At 34.5% G+C, this 19,296-nt stretch overlaps 1 pseudogene, besides 1 other annotated feature; it reads right to left on the bottom strand.

Moving 5' to 3' along the window:
• Nucleotides 16,526-17,725: an enhancer, noted in NCBI's record as "MED14-independent group 3 enhancer chr12:88214374-88215573 (GRCh37/hg19 assembly coordinates)". NCBI's record gives its function as "activates an origin of replication core promoter dependent on BRD2, BRD4, P300/CBP and CDK7 cofactors, and independent of MED14, by STARR-seq in HCT116 cells {active_cell/tissue: HCT116}" and the evidence as "EXISTENCE:reporter gene assay evidence [ECO:0000049][PMID:35650434]".
• On the bottom strand, nucleotides 16,853-17,401 carry GADD45AP1 (growth arrest and DNA damage inducible alpha pseudogene 1; annotated as a pseudogene).

Raw genomic sequence — 19,296 nt, 5'->3', positions numbered from 1 at the left:
TTGCCCATGCCTATTTCATGAATGGTATTTCCTAGGTTTTCTTCTAGGGTTTATATGGTTTTAGGTCTTATGTTTAAGTCTTTAATCTATCTTGAGTTAACTTTTGTATAAGGTGTAAGGAAGGGGTCCAGTTTCAGTTTTCTGCATAGGCCAGCCAGTTTTCCCCACAGCATTTATGAAATAAGGAATCCTTTTCCCATTGCTTGTTTTTCTCAGGTTTGTCAAAGATCAGATGGTTGTAGACATGTGGCATTATTTCTGAGGCCTCTGTTCTGTTATATTGGTCTATATATCTGTTTTGGTACATGTACCATGCTGTTTTGGTTACTGTAGCCTTGTAGTATATTTTGAAGTAAGGTAGTGTGATGCCTCCAGCTTTTCTCTTTTTGCTTAGGATTGTCTTGGCTATACAGGCTCCTTTTTGGTTCCATATGAAATTTAAAGTAGTTTTTTTTTTGCTAATTCTGTGATGAAAGTAAAGGGTATGTTGATGGGTGTAGCATTGATTTATAAATTACTTTGGGTGGTATGGCCATTTTCAGGATATTGATTCTTCCTATCCATGAGCATGGAATGTACTTTCAAATGGTAACTTATATCACAATGTAGTTATTGGGGGAACTAGAATGGTTAGATTTTGAACAGGGCACCCAGAAAGAAGACGTAAGACAAGATTCAAGAAGAGGCATATTTCTAAGTAGAGTCAATGCCTTTTTACATGGAAGGACATAGTGAGAATTTTGACTTTGGTGATAGACTGACCTAAGTTAATACCTTAGCCATCAAGGTTGTTTATGATCTGGAGTAATGTATTTTGTCCCAGAGGTTAGGGATAAAAGTTAGTTTCTTTTTCTTCTATCCTTCATTTCAAAATTATGTATACTTAATACCTTTGGATGTGACCATTTAACTATTTTGGGTACAATTATCTGCACCTGCATACAATTAAGGCTCTTGCTGAAGGTTATTTAGTGGGTGATGAAGGTTGCTTAGTAGATTAGTTGTTCTTAAATGTTCTTCAGACCACCTGCTGGATTTTACGGGTTGAATGGATTGGTGATTTGATTTTTGATGTATTTATGCACAGTTTGCACTGATATACCATGATTAGTTACATTCATTTAATAGGCACTTAGCAAATGTCCTTGTGAAAGTAAGAAAATGTAGGCGATTGCTTTGTATATTTCCTTCTTTGTAAGAACATTGGCGATGTGATGAATAATTAATCAACTAATTGTTGCCCTGTTCAGTGTTCTTTGTTTGGAAGTGAGATGAATTCTTTTATACATGGTGATAGGCATTTAAAATCCTAATTCAGTTTAGGAGTATAGATATGAATTGATTTTTTTCCACAGCTTAAGGACAGAGATTGCTTATGCAGAACTTCTGACCCCTAAAAATCACCTCTTCTCTCTTCTGCATGAAGACCAACTTTTTACATTTAAATTTACACTCTATACATTTCTTATTGTGTGTGCACCTCTATTGAATTCATTTCAATTTACTATTTTTGACTGTGTTGATTTTTATAGTTTTATCTCAAATATGTATACTAACATTTTTATGTTAAAATGTTGTACAAACATTTAATACATTGAAACAAAGAATGATTTAGTAAACTGAAGCATTACAGACATTTTATTTAGTCTAAAGGCAGAACACTCACAGGCTTATTCTTTGGTAAACTTTTCTATCTGACACCTTCCTCTTTCTAGATTCGAGTTTTGGCATTTACTTCTTTTTTAATTTCCACAGATTGCTTAGGCATGATCCCCTTTTTGATGAACCTGTGTAGGAGATTTGGGTGGGATAACATCTGCAACACAAATCTGGATCTATCCAAGTGAAACCAATTTAAACTTATTAAATTGCTGCAGCATTCCAGGGGCCCTGATTAAAAGCTCCTGCAGTCCAGGAGTTGAATAATTTCAATGCCACTTCAGGCCTTTGGATGTTTTACATTATCTCTAGTGGTGTCCTTTCAGATTAAACATAATCCCATTAAGCAATGCTGCTGGCTTTTGGGCTGCTTACACTAGGCTGAGTAATATTCTGCTTTTATTTAGGACTGTGTTTCTTAATTCTTCATCTTGGATGGCTGGCACACACTGGCAATAAGCTTGCATGCAGTAGATGAATATATTCTTTATTAGTAGAACTGATTAAGTTGTTATACAATATCTATGACCCAAATGTCCTCAGGCCAAATCACATTTAAACCTAAAATTCTTTGGTTTGAATTTCAGTCTCTTGAAAAAGTACATATTTCTCCATCCCTTCCAGCTACTGCTTAGTTCTTGGGGAGGTCTTAAAGTGTCTGTTACATGCATTGCCAAATAAATTCTAATTGTTATTTGCATTCTCCATAGTTTCTGACTTGTGATGAGTGAGCAACTCATCATAAGCAGCTCAACTCCACTCTGTCAACTACTGATATTTCCACTAAAACAGTTAGGTGATTTGAGACTCTTCCCACATCACCACTACCCTGTCTGGTAACTATTTCTTCAGTAGAAATAAAGATCCTTTGACACTCTTGGGCACAGACACTCAACCCAGCTGTGATAACCACAGTTGTGACATAGTACCTGGAACTGTTCTAATAGTTTGTTTTACAAAGTCTTCCAAGTAAAGTTGTCCTCATCTATAAAATGCAGTTATTGATAGTAATTGTTCCCCTTAGTGATTGTAAACATTAAATGAAATAATTTGTCAAGTGCTTATTATATGGTAGCTATACAAATGTTTGCTGCTATTATTATTTTTTTCTATTAAAATGGGTTTGAATTCAATTTTAGAAAAATCTGTTATTTCAAATTATTACATTTACTAGCTGAACTTTCTTTTAAGTGAATCAGATCAAATTGGTTCAGAAAAATATTTTTTGTGGCTTAATATTTCTCATGTTGAGCAGAAAAGCAAGGTTGAGAGACTGCAGCCAAGAACAAGCAACCATTTCACCTCTAGGTAGAAGGTTACCCAGCTGAAGGACAGTCAAGTTGTTAAAACCAACATATATATTGAACACTTTCTATATCCCTGGATCTGTGGTACATGCTTTATGGGTGTTAACTCTTTGCATCCTTATGACAATTGTATGCAATAGGTATTATTCTTATGTCTATTTTATAGATAGGAAACTGAGGCATATGAAAATTAAAGTTGCTCAGTTGTTGGATGATGGAGCCAGGATTTTAATCCAGGCACTCTGACCCTAGATGCTGATCTTAACCACTATTAGTCTTCATTTCATAAATTTGTTGGCTTTGGAAAATGGTTCCATTGGCTAGAATTCATTTTTGTGTCCTAACCTCTAGGTCCCCTGGGAGAACTATATAACCACCCTTACATTTAGTATGAACCATGGTCAATAAGCTGTCAGCAGAAAGTAAGAAAGAGCTGGCACATTACCATTGGCTAAAGATCATAGGAAGGACTTTTTTTGTATGTGTACAAGGGAAGGAAAGTAGACAATATATTTCTAGATTTATCTTCACTTTGTGTCTGAGAACCCAGTGGCACTGTACATTTACCATATCAAACAAAAAATACCTCTTCTCTCAGATGGGGGCATTTGAGGTACTTATGTATTTGTAAGACTAGAGGTCCCAGACATTAGAATGTAGTAAACTGCTTTTCTTTCTTATATATTATAGCATATTCAGATCTCTTTATTTACACAGCCTCTTTGAACTTTGACATGCCAAAATCATGACAAACGTGAACTCTCTTTAATGATGCAGCTTTCGCACCAAATGCAAGCTGGCATTTGTTTTGCACAATTGCTGCTTTCACTGGCTCTTGTTCTACAATTTCTTATATATATGAAACTAGTATCTTAGGGAAGGCTTTCCCTCATTCCTTTATTTTACTTTTTAACTGCAGAATTATTCTAGTGGATTTCTGAGCTGAAGTTGCTGTTGATGTTTTTGAATCCTGTATACCAGGATTTGAGTTAGAACCCTAAGGTTGCCATTTACTTTTCAAGACCATCTCTCCTCAGCTTTTGAATTTCTAGGCTTTAAGAGGTATTTCTTTCTCTTCCTTATTTTTTTGAGTGGGATGTACCCCTGGCATTGCATTTCCTTTGTTTTATTCCTTCTCCTTTGAAGAAGAATAAATTCTTTTCTCTTTTTCTTCTGGCCTCCAAGGTCTCATTTTTCCTTTCATATATATATAAAGCCTGTCTTCTGAGATCTCAACATTTCTCCTAAGGAATTCTCTCTTTCTCCATCTCTGTTATCTTATATCCCATTTTTTTCTTTTATTTCTTACTAATTTTGTTTTAGTAACAAGACAAAAGCATATTTTTACTACTAGGCTCTTTTAGGGCATTTTGACTAATGAAAATTTTCTCTATAGTCCTTCTATATTACCCTTTTAAAAATTAAGGTAAAATATACATACATTGAGATAAACTGATCGAAAGTGTACCATCTGAGGAGTTTTAACCAATTATTAAGTTATGAATATCACATGAAGATATTGAACATTTCCATTTTCCCAGAAAGTTCTCTTGTGTTAATCTTCCAGGCAATTCCTAAACCATAGGTGAGAAAGGCTATAATAACTAGATCATAGATTAGTTTTTCTACTCTTGAACTTCATAAATATAAAATCATATAGTATATACTCACTTATGTCTGAATTATTTCTCTCAATATTATAGTTTTGTGGTTAATTTGTGTTCTTGCTTGTATGGATGGATAGTTTATTCTTTTTTAAAAAATTCATGAATAGTATTTCACTAAGTGAACATAGAATGGATTGAATGCAATTTATTTATTATTATTCACTTGTTTTTTTCCATTTTTGGGGCAAGTATGAATGGCAGTTATGAATAAAGTCACAATAAACATTTTTGTAGAAGGCTTTTGGAAACACGTGTTCATTTGTTTTTGATATATGCCTAGGAGTGGGATGGCTAAGTTATAAGGCCATCTATGTTTACTTTTCAAAAATGCCAAATGGTTTTCCAAAATAGTTCTTCCATTTTACCCTCTTTATTAGTCTGTTCTAAAGAAATACCTGAAACTGGGTAATTTATAGAGAAAAGAGGTTTAATTGGCTCACAGTTTCACAGGCTGTACAGGTAGCAAGACTGGGGAGGCCTCAGGAAACTTACAGTCATGGCAGACGGGTGAAGAGGAAGCAAGCAAGTCTTCACATGGTGGCAGGAGAGACAGAGCAAAGGGGGAAGGGCTACACACTTTTTAACAACCAGATCTCATGAAAACTCACTCACTATCATGAGAACAGCAAGGGGGAAGTCTGCCCCCATTATCCAATCACCTCTCACCAGGCCTCTCCTCCAATATCGGGGATTACAATTTGACACGAGATTTGGGTGAGGACACAAATCCAAACCATATCATCTTCCCACTAGGAATAAATTAGAGTTCCAGTTGACTTACATCCTTGCCAGTGTTTGTTTTTGACAATCATTTTAACTTTGGCTATTCTAGTCTGTAAAAAGGCATCTTATGGCTTTTAAATTTGCATGCCCCTGTTGACTAACAATGGATAATAGTTTTGATCCTTCTATGTTTGATTTTATCTTTATTGGAGGTAATCGGTTTTGGTTTTGCACTTGTCCTAATGTGTGCTCCTTACACTAGGGTTTAAGCCTTCATTCTAAAACACGGCCTTCCAAAAATCTCAGCTGGATACCCGAAGTGCTGTGTGAGATTTCTTCATTCTCACTTGGCTGGATCTGCAGTATCTCCCAAGATTGCATGACCTCTGATAGCTCTATTCAGTTATCCATGAAAAAACAAACATTCTCCACCAGACCTTGTGGATTCTTGCCCTGTACTAACTTAGCCCAACTCTGGTTCAGAGACCGGAATTTCCATGCAAATGTTTTTGTTTCCTCCTTTGTCACTTTCCTATTCTTTAAAATTTGCTCCACAATTTCTAGCCACTACAGTAGCCCAAACTTCAGTCTTTGCCTTTTAACCTAAGCAGAACTTCTTGTGCTCTGCTTCCCTACATCATGGTCCAGAAGGCACTCTTGGATAAAAAGCTGGGAAAATATAGGGCTCACCTTTTGAAAGTGTTCCCCTACTTTCAAAGATCACAGTTTTGCACCGGCCAATTTCTAATGCCTAAAAACAGTTGCCTGGTATGGTTGGGACAGTGTGTAATTATTTCCACTGTGAAGGGAAACCCAGCACCATTTGTACCACCATGGCTGAAAGCAACAGTCCTTCCTTGTAATTCATCAGTTAATTGTCCTAAGGTTAATAATTAAGGATTTAATGCCAACATAATTTTATTGCCATACTTCCTCTTTTTCCTTCTGAAACTACTATCATTCTAGAAAATTATCTCCATCTAGCTAACTGTCTACCTACCTACCTACCTACTTACCTACCTACCTATGTATCTATTATCTATCTATCTATCTATCTATCATCTCTCTATCTACTTACCTACCTATCTATCTAGTGAGCTAGATATCTGTCAAAGTATCCTGGGATGTGACAATTGGTGTGTGGTGTGTTAAGAGCTTTTTGCAACTAAAAATATATTAAATGTGGATATTTGTGAAAATACCCTCACTTGCTTACGTTCTTATTTGCTTTTTAAAGTTTATGAGAAAAGGGCAAATCTACAACTGTCGCTCTATGAATTTGGTATAACCCTGCATATAACTGTGGGGATATGTCTATTATATCATCATCTATCAAGCATCAAGCATATCAGAGCAAAAGGGATTGAGTCAGTAATATAAAAATGGTTGTTTTAAAAAGAATTAGAAAGTGACAGGTAGTTTTTAACTTGTATTCTATGTCTCTATATTATGGAGAACAAGATAATCTGAAAGATACTTGATTTACTTGTTAAACTTCTTAATCTTAGAAGTGATTTGTTACTAAAATCATGAAATTCCATTGAAGATACATAGTACTGGTAGGGAAATTTATGTATTGCAAGAACAAAACATTCTGGAAATAATTTTTCAATGGGCTTTTAACGAATTTTAATTCTGAGGTGAGAAGGAAAACAAACTGAAATAAAAGAATGTTTGTAAAAATAAATGAGCTACTTGAAGTAATAGATTGTTTTTTAGGTGAAGAAATGGAGATACTATCTTAGTCTGTAGAATAATTTCTCGTAAACAATATAATCAAATATCATTACCTTAAATACAACACAAAAACTAACAAACACACATTTAAGCAGCAAATTGTAATGGAAGCAGCACTGGACTCAAGAGAGGTAATGTGATTCCTAGATCCGCCCTGGTTAGGTTTTTTTCTCTGTTATCTATGAAGTGAATTAGCTAGATATACTGGATAATTTTAATGATTTAAATTCATCATTCTAGGTTTTATTCCTCTATTTTGGGAAAAATTCTGATTCAAATTAAAGAAAAATCTATTTTTAGGAGCTTTGCTTTAGTTAGATATACATCTAACTTTAGTTATACTATGGAATAGTCTTGAGTATCATCATACTTCTAACATATGTAATTACACATTTCATTTTATTATTTTCTATTAACTGACATCTACTATGAGTTTGACAATCATATTTAATACTATATTCCATAGCAAGTATTCAGTCAGTTTTTTAGGGAAGTCATAAGCCAATTTGATGAGTATCAGGTTTGTTTTCTATTTCACAAATAAATTGGTCTGGACAGGCCAAGATGCAGATGTTCATTCATAATCACACACATCAATCCACCCCTACAATTTTATATTTAAAACTGCCACAAGCTTATGGTCTTGTCTCACAATCACATCCAAAAGTGCACTTTGGAATTCGTTTTAGCAGTTTATTTATTTTTTTTTTTTTACTTTTGCCATTTAGGTTTTCATGGGAGCCTGTTTATCATTTTTGTACTGATAAAAAAACTATTTCCACTTGCAACAACCAATTTTAATTTTCATAGCTGTACTAAAAATATATGAAACAAAGATGTTAAGTGTGTACATCTTCACTGAGTTTATATTTGCTAGTTCAAAATTTAGTGGAGTTCCGTTAGTACAACCAGGAATTACTTTTATACTATCAACCAATTGACATCCATTCCATTGGTCTTTCTTTGAGATCTATTTAAATGGTTTTCAGCTCTCTAATTTCCCTAACGATTTAGAGGTTAATAATTCCACTGAAACAGAATGCAACCAAGGGAAATGTAAAAGTCTCCAAGACTCTAGATGCTTCTTAGGTTCTTTTAATATGTGAGCCCCTTAAAAGAATGTCATTGAAAATGTAATTTTTAGAAGGTATTCTTCAGAGTATGCTGGTGATTACCTGAGTAGGGTGGTAAAGAATAGAAAGAGTTGCAGTAATTTGCATGTTTTCAGTTTATTCTAGTTAGGAGGAGACTCATTAGATATTGATTGCTACAGAGTCTCAACAGAATAATGGGAACAAAGATAATAATTACTGATTTGTGCAGTAGGAAGGGCTCAAATATGAAATACACAATACTAAAGCTGACAAGAATGATAGAATTGCCAGTTTTCATAAAGGTAATGAGAAATAATATTGGAAACTAAGTAGAAGCTATAGAAACCAATAATTATATTACTCTTTGATATCTTATAAAGAACATTCATATGAATGTTTGCTCTGGATTCTCATAGCATCCTGTAAAACCAAGCTCGAGAGGTTATCTCATTTTTACAATTAAAAAATCTGAGGCTCAGAGAATTTAGGTGATTTGTCCAAGCTCACACACTTTTAATGTGGTATATGCAGTATCAGAATCAATATTTTCCCTCCATCAATATTTTCTTATATTATCTGATCACATGTGTTTATGTGTTTTCAAATATTTGGAGACTCATGTTAAAGCATGACTTTAGCTATTCAGAACCTAGAGGAATGAATTTATCTGGATAATTAATTATACCAGATACTTGAAAGGACAATTTGTACTTAAATTTTAATTTTTGTGGTGACATAATGTCAATAAAAAAATCTTTTAGACTTTTTTTAGTAACTGATAGTCACCATTAACCTATTAGTTATCATAAACTATTGTAACTGTATGTATAAATATATTGAAATATTGGGCTAAATGAATCACAAGTATAAAATATAGCATAGGTGTTCATGTTAAGAAATGGTATAATCTTTTCCACCAATTTTTGAAGGTCACAACTGCAAAATATTTGAATAGTTGATAAATCAATATGAAATAAACCAGTTGGCATTTTCCCATTTATGGCAATTGTCCATTTTCCTTTTGAAAATAACAATCAAATGCTTCTTTCGCCTGTTATTTTTCATAAAAGGAATTGTAGTATAACTGCCTAGAAGCTACCCTTGTCAAATTAGTTCAGACTTTCTATTTGTTCAGCAACACATCTAAACTTTTAGAGAGAGTGCTACCAAACAGGGCTCTGCCTTCATTTTAAAGGGTGTATTAAGCAACTGTAGGGATGCAGGAGCCGCCTTTGGATCTTTACTTCTTTCACTTATATGTGCTTACTGTCAGGGCTTGTTATTTTTGAGTAATTCTGGATTGCAAGCTATTCATCATACATGAATGGAAATGTTCTCTTTTCCTTGGAAAATATGTCTGGCAGGAAACAATCCCTGCTGGCAATCTGAAAAGCGAGACTATGCCTAGAGGAGCGTCTCAGCCATAATTACAGTTCGCGGCAGGCTTTATTTTATCTCTACAATTATTTATAGAGCGCAAATGATAGTTAAAGACATACCACCCCAAAATATGACTGCAGGAGATCAGATTATGCCACCTCAAAATTTGCCACTTCAGCATATTGCTTACTTTGAGCAGAAAGAATCTGAAAACCAGCCAAAGCAGGAAAAGCTCTTTACTTCTCTTCAGCTACCTGAAATGAAGTATCACACTCCCCATTTATTTACATGTATAAAGGAAATATTCATTAGTAAAGGTAGTAAAGGTATATGTACCAGGAAGAGAGCTACTCTTTCTCAGGTGAAGACAACTTTTATCACCAGAGAAACTTTTATTTACATAATAAACAACTTTTACTTACTATACATTTTGTCCCTGACTCTCACATAATTTGCCTCCACTCACCCCCTCAGAAACCCCAAATTCCTATTCCTTTCTGTAGCTCAAGATGATATAAAAGCTTCAATCATCTGGCTGCTTCTTTGAGCCACATATTTCTGTGGGACTCCTGTGCATACATATGTAATCCATGTTGTTGGTTTTTTTTCTTTCAACCTGTCTCATGTCAATTTAATTCACAGACCAGACCAGCCAAGGAGGCTAGAAGGGTCTATCCTTTCTTCTAAGAAAGTATTTTTTCCTCCCCTACACTATGAGGGATAGATGCTGTTAAGACACTGAGTATTTAGTAGTGAGCAAAACAGAAAATGATTTTAGTCTAATGAACTCGCATTATGTGGTGAGCAGAAATAGGGGAAGAAAAGGTGTGAGAAGAAGAGTATCTCGTTTAAAATGAGTCATCAAAATTAGGCATAGTTTAGATGTGACTCAAGTCATTGAGATATAGAGCTGGAATCACAGAAGCAGGAAAGAAAGGAATAATGTGTAATGGTTTAGAACCAGTGACTCAGATGTTTATCTTCCTACAACTTTGTTGTTAAAGAGCAATTGAGTTCTCTCAGTCAAGGCTTGGTCCACAAAGCTGCTAGATAACACTGAGCCAACAATCTTCTTTCAAGTGTTAGATGAAATCCTATCATCTTTACTTTTCAGGGAAATGGAACACTTTCTCCCTGACTCTTGCTTTACTCTTATTCTTTCACATGGTTGAGTATCAGATTTTGTGACTGGGTCCTAACTGATTCTTCTTTATGATAAGGGGTCTGGGGAAAATAGTGTGATAAAAAAGTGTGGTATATGCATTAATCTTTACACCTAGTTCTAGAATGGACCTCCAGGGGCCAGTAAACATATGATGCAAATGAGCTCTGTATCTCTTAATGTTTAGGAGGCAGTGTTTTGAGTAAGGCGAGCAAACTGTCAATGATGACAACAAAGAGATGTGTGAAACATCAGCTCTGTTGCTGTCCTTGGGTTAAGAACCGCAAACATAGGGAAGCTCAGTAGATTTGGTTATTGTGCTCTACCAAAGCCTTAAAATTGAGCTCCCAGTGCAAGATCTTACTTCCATAACTTCAGCACAAGGACGTGGTGTTTGTTAATATAATGGGTCACTGACTCCAATTTTCCCACACCCCATTTCTCAGCCAGAATCAGATCTCACGTTTGTCCTCTTTGTATAAGGCAGGATTAGCAGATGTTCTCAGAGGGGTTAAAAAGCACAAAAACTTACTGAGCATGAGGGTAATAAGACATGAGAGGGCCGTGAAGCCCTCTCTACATCTACATCTCTCACAATATATCTCTCACATATACAGACATACACAGAGGGTATAGACTCTTGAGTTTGAATTCTGAGTCCTCCACTTTCTATTATTGCATCTTTGGGCAAGTTACTTGGGATCATACTAATAGTTTCTATTTAATAGGGTTATGCTAAATATTAAGCAAGTACATGCAAAGTCCCTCACAAACAATAAATGCCTTTGGGACAGTTTGCTAGTTTCTTCTTATTCCCATATCTGTTTTCCCCCTTTTGCTTTACCTGATTCTGCAATTACATACTCCTTTATAAACTCCATCATACCTAGGTATGGCCTTGTGCTGTGAGAGAAACAGTATGTGTTACTTATCAGGGTTGCACAGAATACAAGAAGAGATGCTTCTTATTTGCCCTCATGAAGTGATAACGCACCAGCTCCAAGGAGTGGACTAGCACTACTGTGTCAATATTTCCTCCCAGAGCAATGAGACCCTTGGGGTCACCTTGATCCACAGAATTAGTATTTAATCCTATTTCGCAAGCTAGGAGCATTCCAGGCAGTCAGTCCCATAGGATTTTGTAGATGTCAAATGCAGTTGTGATGCATGGCCATGAGGGGAGACTCAAGGTCATCCTTGAGAGGAATCTGAGGTCGGACATAGTACTTGACCAAACTGCATTGTCAAAAGATAGTGCCCTTGTTGTGAATGAGTCAGAGTGAACCTTGGAGCAATTGGAAAACAAGGGGTAATACTCATGCAAATGAGCTGGAATACAGGGAGCAAGAAGGTGATATGACTATGCATTTATGCTTTGACTGGTTATCTTTTGCCTTTGTCGGTTGGACTAGCCAGATTCTATTTTACTTTAATTTTAACCTTTATTTTAAGTTCAGCGGTAAAATTGGCAGGTTTGTTATAGGTAAACTTGTGTCATAGGGGTTTGTCGTATAAATTATTTCATCACCCAGGTATGAAGCGTAGTACCCATTAGTTGTTTTTCTAGATCCTCGCCCTCCTCCTATTCCCCACCTTCCAAAGGACCCTAGTGTGTGTTGTTCCCCCCTATGTGTCCATGTGTTCTCATTATTTAGCTCCCACTTGTAAGAGAGAACATACAGTATTTGTTTTTCTGTTTCTGTATTAGTTTGCTAAAGATAATGGCCTTCAGCCCCATCCATGTCCCTGTGAAGGACGTGATCTCATTTTTTTTATGGCTGCAGAGTATTCCATGGTATATATGTACCACATTTTCTTTACCCAGTCCATCATTCAGATTTTAACACGTGGGTAAGGATGGGTCTGACTAAAGAACACACTGAAGGTCCTGGTAGCCTGGCTCTAAAAAGCTAATGTTTTGCAATAATTTTTAAAATGTGTAGATTTATATTGATGCTCTTTACTATTCATTTCAGAAATTCATTTAATACTGGAATCATTCTTAGTATTGCTGTCTTCTCAAAAATGTTTGATAATTTGTTTTCTATCAGGAATATTGGTTATTTGACTATTTTTTAAAATTTGTTTTTATTTATTTATTTGTTTTAATTTAGTTTTTTTTTAAATTTATTTCTTTGTTTTAATTCAGCTGAATGTTACACGTGGATAAGATTAGAATATGTTTCAGAAGTATCATGTGCCCTTGCCTTTTTGGAGAGGAGATTAATGATCTTTATTAAATATTTCAGGGCATCCATACCTACATTTATTTCATAAATTTCATTTACTCACTGTGGATTGAATTTGTAGTATCTTTATAACCAAGACAGTAAGATTTAGTAAGGACAGACACATTTAAGTTTGCATTATCAGTATCGTAAGCTACCTTCCTTGGGAGACATGCTCTAACTTCAACCAAAAATGCTTCTATTGTATTTATAAGATGAGACTTGTTATGGACACCCATTTTATAGCAGACTTTTGACTTTTGACGTCTGTGCTGTAGTTGAGATTTATACATATGCCAGATGAAGGTGGCACTTGGCATATGTGCAAATTTTCTTCAAAAATTTCCATTACCTAGCAGGCAAAGAGATTACTCCCTAACAGAAAGATGACAAGTTCGAACTTCTAAGATTTTTAGTTGCTGATATTTTAGGAGCAGGCTGTCGCTTGCTGTTTGCTTATGATTTCTTGGTTCCTGTTCCTGGGCTCTAGTTTCAATAATCTCGCTGATAGTGGAAGAAACTACATCAATTTCTCATTTTCTGTATCCTCACAGGAAGAGATAGGATTTGTCCCAGGTGTCTGCAACAGTCCTAGCATCCTGAAAGCTTATATTCCTCTGTGATTTCTTATTGGTGCAGTGTTTCTGTCCGTGCTTTTTATCCACAGAAATGGAAAGATATTGATTCTCTTAACAATAGAATATTTAGGACAATATCTTTAGTAATTAGAACTTATATGTACTTAAAAATTTTAAAGCAAAATAGATGCCTAATTTTATAGAAAAATAAGGATGTAATTTAATGATTGCATAATAAAATTGATTTTTAAAACTTTTAGAATATGTCTAACAATATTTGCTTTTCTACTTTTTAGTTTACTACTACAGGAATAAAAAAATTAATATGTTTCTGAATTTCAGTGGTAAGATATTACTTGTTCTTTTCTCACTCCTCACCCCACGTTAAAATTAGACTCTTTACTTTTTTCAAGAATATTTTTAAAAAGTATAATATTCTATGATATCTCCCAAGTTGTTCTCAAGAAGTTGTGGTGTGCTCTTTTACTGTAAATTTCTAAATGAGACTATATTAGAATTATATCACCTATCAAAAAAGGAGCCTCAACTAATGTGAATATTAAACTCCATTTCAACAAATCTACTAAATGTTTTTTGTCTTTGAGGTTTAGCCTGAAGTACTATTTTTGGTAGGAATCCAAAAGAGAGTTTTTAAATACTGGCACAAGACACATCACTTCATTTAAAATGTATAGTAACAAGAAAGCAGATTGTCATAATATTAGTCAAATCTCAGAGGGAAGTAACTCTTTTCATTATAGATTTTACATCACTATTTTATGGTTTTTAATTGTTGTATTGCAGATTAAGAGTAGGCAAACATGAAATATAATGTTTAATGGTTTGGATTTGAATTTTAATGCTTTGAAAAGGCGGTATAAAGAGCTTCTGCATTGATTATAGCAGCATAAGAGGTTGAGTACATAGCATAGTCACATAGTGTAAAGAAGTAAATGTTGATATAGTATCATATTTAACATTGATTAATGCTAACATTGTAAATTGTTCCCAGATTCTGGGAAAATCAACTTTTGTTCTTACTTTTCTCTTAATTATATTTGGAGGCTGAGATGGAATTTAAATGGTAGGTGGTCTATTATTTGTGAGTGCCTTAAAGGCCATTCAAATTAAATAGTATCGATAGGTTAGAAATTAAATGGTGTAGTATATATTAATTTTCTCTGTCAGGTATTAGTTACTGAATCTCAAAAAGCACTTAGCTGATATGATAAAACAGTGTGGACATAAATTCTAGAAGAGATAATCTGATAAGGAATGGAAAGACATAAATATCGTATTTAGTATTATCTTCAGTTAACCTACAAGAAGCACAAATTGAGCAGTTTAGAGAGCCATCTCCAAAGAATAGAAGATAAGTATTTTTGGTTTATTTTGGGTTTTAAAATCTTCCCTAGACTCTAAAATCAAGGAAGGCAGGTACTATGTTTGCCTTCATAATTGCATCCTCAGTAACTGTTGTGCAGAAGTCATTCAAAAATATTTTAATTTACTCTTGTTGCATAATTCTATAAAATGTTCTAAGAGCCAGATAAGTCCATTTTTTTTACTCCTATTAGTTCGAGCACTATTGTTAATATCATGAGATTTAAAAAAATAGTCCTACAATGCTTGAGGCAAAGAATCAATCTTGTTAATCATTCTTGACTTTAAGAATTCTTCTGTTTAGTGGGGACATGAGACAGAGATATGATCAAGTAGATGATATACAAGCCCATTACATAAAAGTCAGAGTTGAAAGCTCACAGAATAAACCAAATATTAGCATATAGCATTTTCTGTAACATGGAAAGAAAATATTTTTAAGGAAAAAATTTAAGAAAAACTTCTGTTTAATATTTTTTAACTTTATCACTCTCCCCACTCCCTGAAGTAAGGACTTGGCCATTCCCATGCCTGATTGTTGGCAGAGTGATGTAGGCGGCAACATTTCTACATGTATATCTGACTCTCAGTTCCCAGTGCAATTTCTTACTGATTTCAAAAACATGAAAGTTAAAAATTGAAATTAAGCTATTTCACTTGAATAAACTTCTCCATAGAATTAATATTTTTTGACTCTGGGCTTCTTTAAGTGGTGTCTGCTGTATTTATTCTGGGCAGAAGCTCCAGATCCTTCCTTCTCCATCAGGTGCAAGATACATGGATATATATCTTGCATATAGAAAGATACACAGATACCTAGAAGGGATACAGAAGTAGATACACACACTATACTGTTCTCCTGATCTGTCTGTGAATTCATCAGTACTACATTGCTTTAATTATTTTCATTTACTAGTATCTCTGAAAATTAGTTGAAAGCTATTGCCATCTCATACTTTCCTCTATTTTCATATTTTGTCCTCATAAATATTTTCATCATAGAAGTAGTGGTGTCTTTTTTATATCCATTGATTTGAGTGATTGTTTTGTTCCTAGATTTCTTAGTAAATTATTTATAAGTGATCCTCCAGGTAAACAGTTTCAGAAAATAATGGCAATATTTACAATTTTTATACTGCAGATCTCTTTTTCTGAATGTGTTCATTTAGAAAATTCAGAACAATGTTAACTAATAGTAGTCATATGTTTTTGTCTTGCTTCTGATTTTTAAGGTGATGGTTACACCATTTACAACCACAACAGTTATGCTAATACATGTTTGAAATGATAACATATTAATAAAATGTCAACTTGCATTTAAAAACAAAACAAAACAAAAAGTCGATCTGCCAGTCGTCTCCATGGACTTCTGCACCCCATCCCAAACCCTTCTTCACCTGGGGTCCCCTTCCAGTTTTCCCCTGCCTCCCAGGCTCTTGACATGGCTTACCTGCCTTCACTTCCAGCACCCTGCCTCCAAAGTATAAGCTAGATCCCCTTGGCCTTCTGAATCTGCCAGTGTCTCCAGGTTCCCAAGACCACTTCCCTGTGGGCTTCCAAAATGGCCTTTATCATTTCCCCAGTCTGTCACCCTCTTCCATTTCTCCCATACACCCACAGTTTGTTTCTTTCCCTGTAAAAACCTTCACTGCCTCAATTTCTGGTTCACTCAACTCTTGTCACTATGTCTTGAGGCATGAAGCCTCAACTCTTGGAATTGCTGGCAAGGGGTGACTGCCTCTAAGTCACTGTTTTTTACATAGTGATTATTTTCTGTAGCGTTTTGACCTAAGATCTCAGCAATTTGAACACTAATTCCTCCCCTCCTGGCTCAAGAATTACTCCGAAGTCAGTCTGCAGAAAATAAATATTTAATATGACATAAAAAAATGCAGATCCGCTTGAAGTTGGACCTAAGCAGTCTATAGCAGTCCAAATTTATAGTATAAGTTTTCATGTCATAAAATAACAGTACAATTTATAATAAAACTGCAAATTTAATATCTAATCAAAATACAATAAAATATGGTTTTCAAATATGATTAATTCTTTCAGCTTTTCCTTTACTTGAGGGCATATAAACCAAAAATACTCAAATTGTGGCTGCACATTTAAACTTTAACAAAGCATATTTGGTTTATTTTAATGTAACTCAACCATTCTAAATCAATACCTAGTTTTCCTTCCTGCATGATTCTTTGTAATTGTTCCTTTTGACTTGTATTTCTGTTTCAATACAGCTTTCTTCTTCATTTTCACCTCTTTCTATTTGCAAAGTCTTTTATGTCCAGGCCCCCAGAACAGGTAGTTGAACTCACTCACCTCCTTGACATCAGTTTCTGTAATCCTTGCGTCAGTGTAGGGAGTAACGGCTTGAGTAATTACAAAGGTATTTCAAAAACTTCAGTGCAATTTGGTTCAGTTATTTTCATTCAGATGCCATCACCGTTCAGGGAGATTAACCACTGGAACCCACTGATCCAGTGGTGTGGATGTCAGCATGAATACACATCTTAAAGCTGTGAAAATGACCCTGAAGAACAGAGAAACTGTACAGCTGGAAACACTGAGTATTCGAAGAAATAACATTGATATTTTATTCTACCAGACAGTTTATCTCTGGATACACTACTTGTGGATGGTGAACTTAAGGTGAAATCTAAGAAAAGGGAAGCTGTTGCAGGAAGAAGCTGAGGCAGAAGTAGAGGAAGAGGACATGGCCGTGGCAGAGGAAGAGGGGGTCTTAGGCGACAATGTCTTTCAATATTACTGTTCCAAAGTGACATGGGATTTGGGATATTTTTTGTACAGATTGTGTTTGTTTATGTCAGTTTTTAATAAGTGTAAATGTGGAACAGTTGTCTATTCAGTAATTTTTTTTACAGAAGTTTTTTATTGATTGAAATGAAAGACATTTTCTGAACTGCTAAAATTACCATTTCAGGGCTTCAGAAAGACTGAGATATCAGCATTTAACAAGATATTAAGTGAACAAGAGATCACAGAATAAAACTTATACAAAATGAGGCATGGATCAGTTCATAGGTAATGGCTTTTATATTGTATTTGATATAATTCTTAATTTTATATCACTACTGAATATTTATTACAGTATTTCTAAACATAATTTGAAAAAATAAACAGAGAAACAATCTTGGTACCTCATAATTTAGATCATAAGATATCAGAACAAATACAGCCACCAAATATATCCATCTTAAATACAGTATACATTTAACAGAAATAATAATACATGACAAATTATTCAAATTTGAATTGAAAAGGAACAAATCGTTAGCGAGGAAAGCAAAATGTTTTTAACGTATTATATATAACACTTCCACCTAAGGGTCATAGCTGCTCAGATAACTTGAAAATATAGTCTAGGATTCCTAATATTATAAACATATTCTCCCATCTACTCCTTAAAGAAAAGTTTGCGGTGTTTGCATATACCAATATTGAATTTCATACATCTGACAGTTTGCCTAGACAACTATATTCTGAAAAGCATACATGTTTTAAGCTGTATGACAGTGATAACCAGAAAACAAAACACATATCTGCATCTGGTGGAGCTGAAATCAGGTCTCTTCAATTCAGCAGATCCAAATTCTGAAGGAATGTTTTTTAACAAACTTTTGGACAGTATTGACATGCGGGTTAAAAACAATTAGACTCTATTAAATGATGAAAAAATACCCAGGCTGCACTTGAAAGACTGGAAGAAATGGAAGAACAATTGTATTCTCTGCAAATTGGAAAAACATAAATCACCTAGGTATGTGAATTATATCAAGAAAATTGATACTGATTCTGGTCTTTACATTCCAAAACAAATAAGTACTATATTCTACAGAGATATAAGAGGTCTGTTTTCTTGCCTAGCTACTCATTTTAATATTCTTGTTTCACTTAATGGCAATCATCGCAAAGAACATTTCAGTCTATTTTAGTCCAGTTATGGTAATATAAAATCAATTCACTCTTAAGGAAAACCATGTCAATTTATTGGAGATATAAGCATGAAAATCCTATCTTTCAAGATATGATGGTATTAGTTATTATAGATTCAGTAATTACACATACATCCATTTGGATATGTTAAAATTATATATTTGACTATAATCCTCAATACAGATTTTTTACATTGGCCAATGCCCTTCATGGAACATTGCTGAAGTAAATTAGACCCTTAGAGGTACAAATGGCAGTGTTAACACAGATAATGCCGGAATGTATTTCATTGTTGCAGTAGGCCACTTCAGTGATTTTTCTTTCATCTAACTAGATATGCCACGAAAGCTCAGATACCTACATTGATAGAAATTAGCTTGAAATAAGATGCAGCAAAGAACAATAAGCATGCTTCAAAGGT

Source organism: Homo sapiens, chromosome 12 (genome assembly GCF_000001405.40).
Source record: "Homo sapiens chromosome 12, GRCh38.p14 Primary Assembly".
NCBI lineage: Eukaryota > Metazoa > Chordata > Mammalia > Primates > Hominidae > Homo > Homo sapiens.
This window is presented reverse-complemented; position numbering and strand designations above follow the sequence as displayed.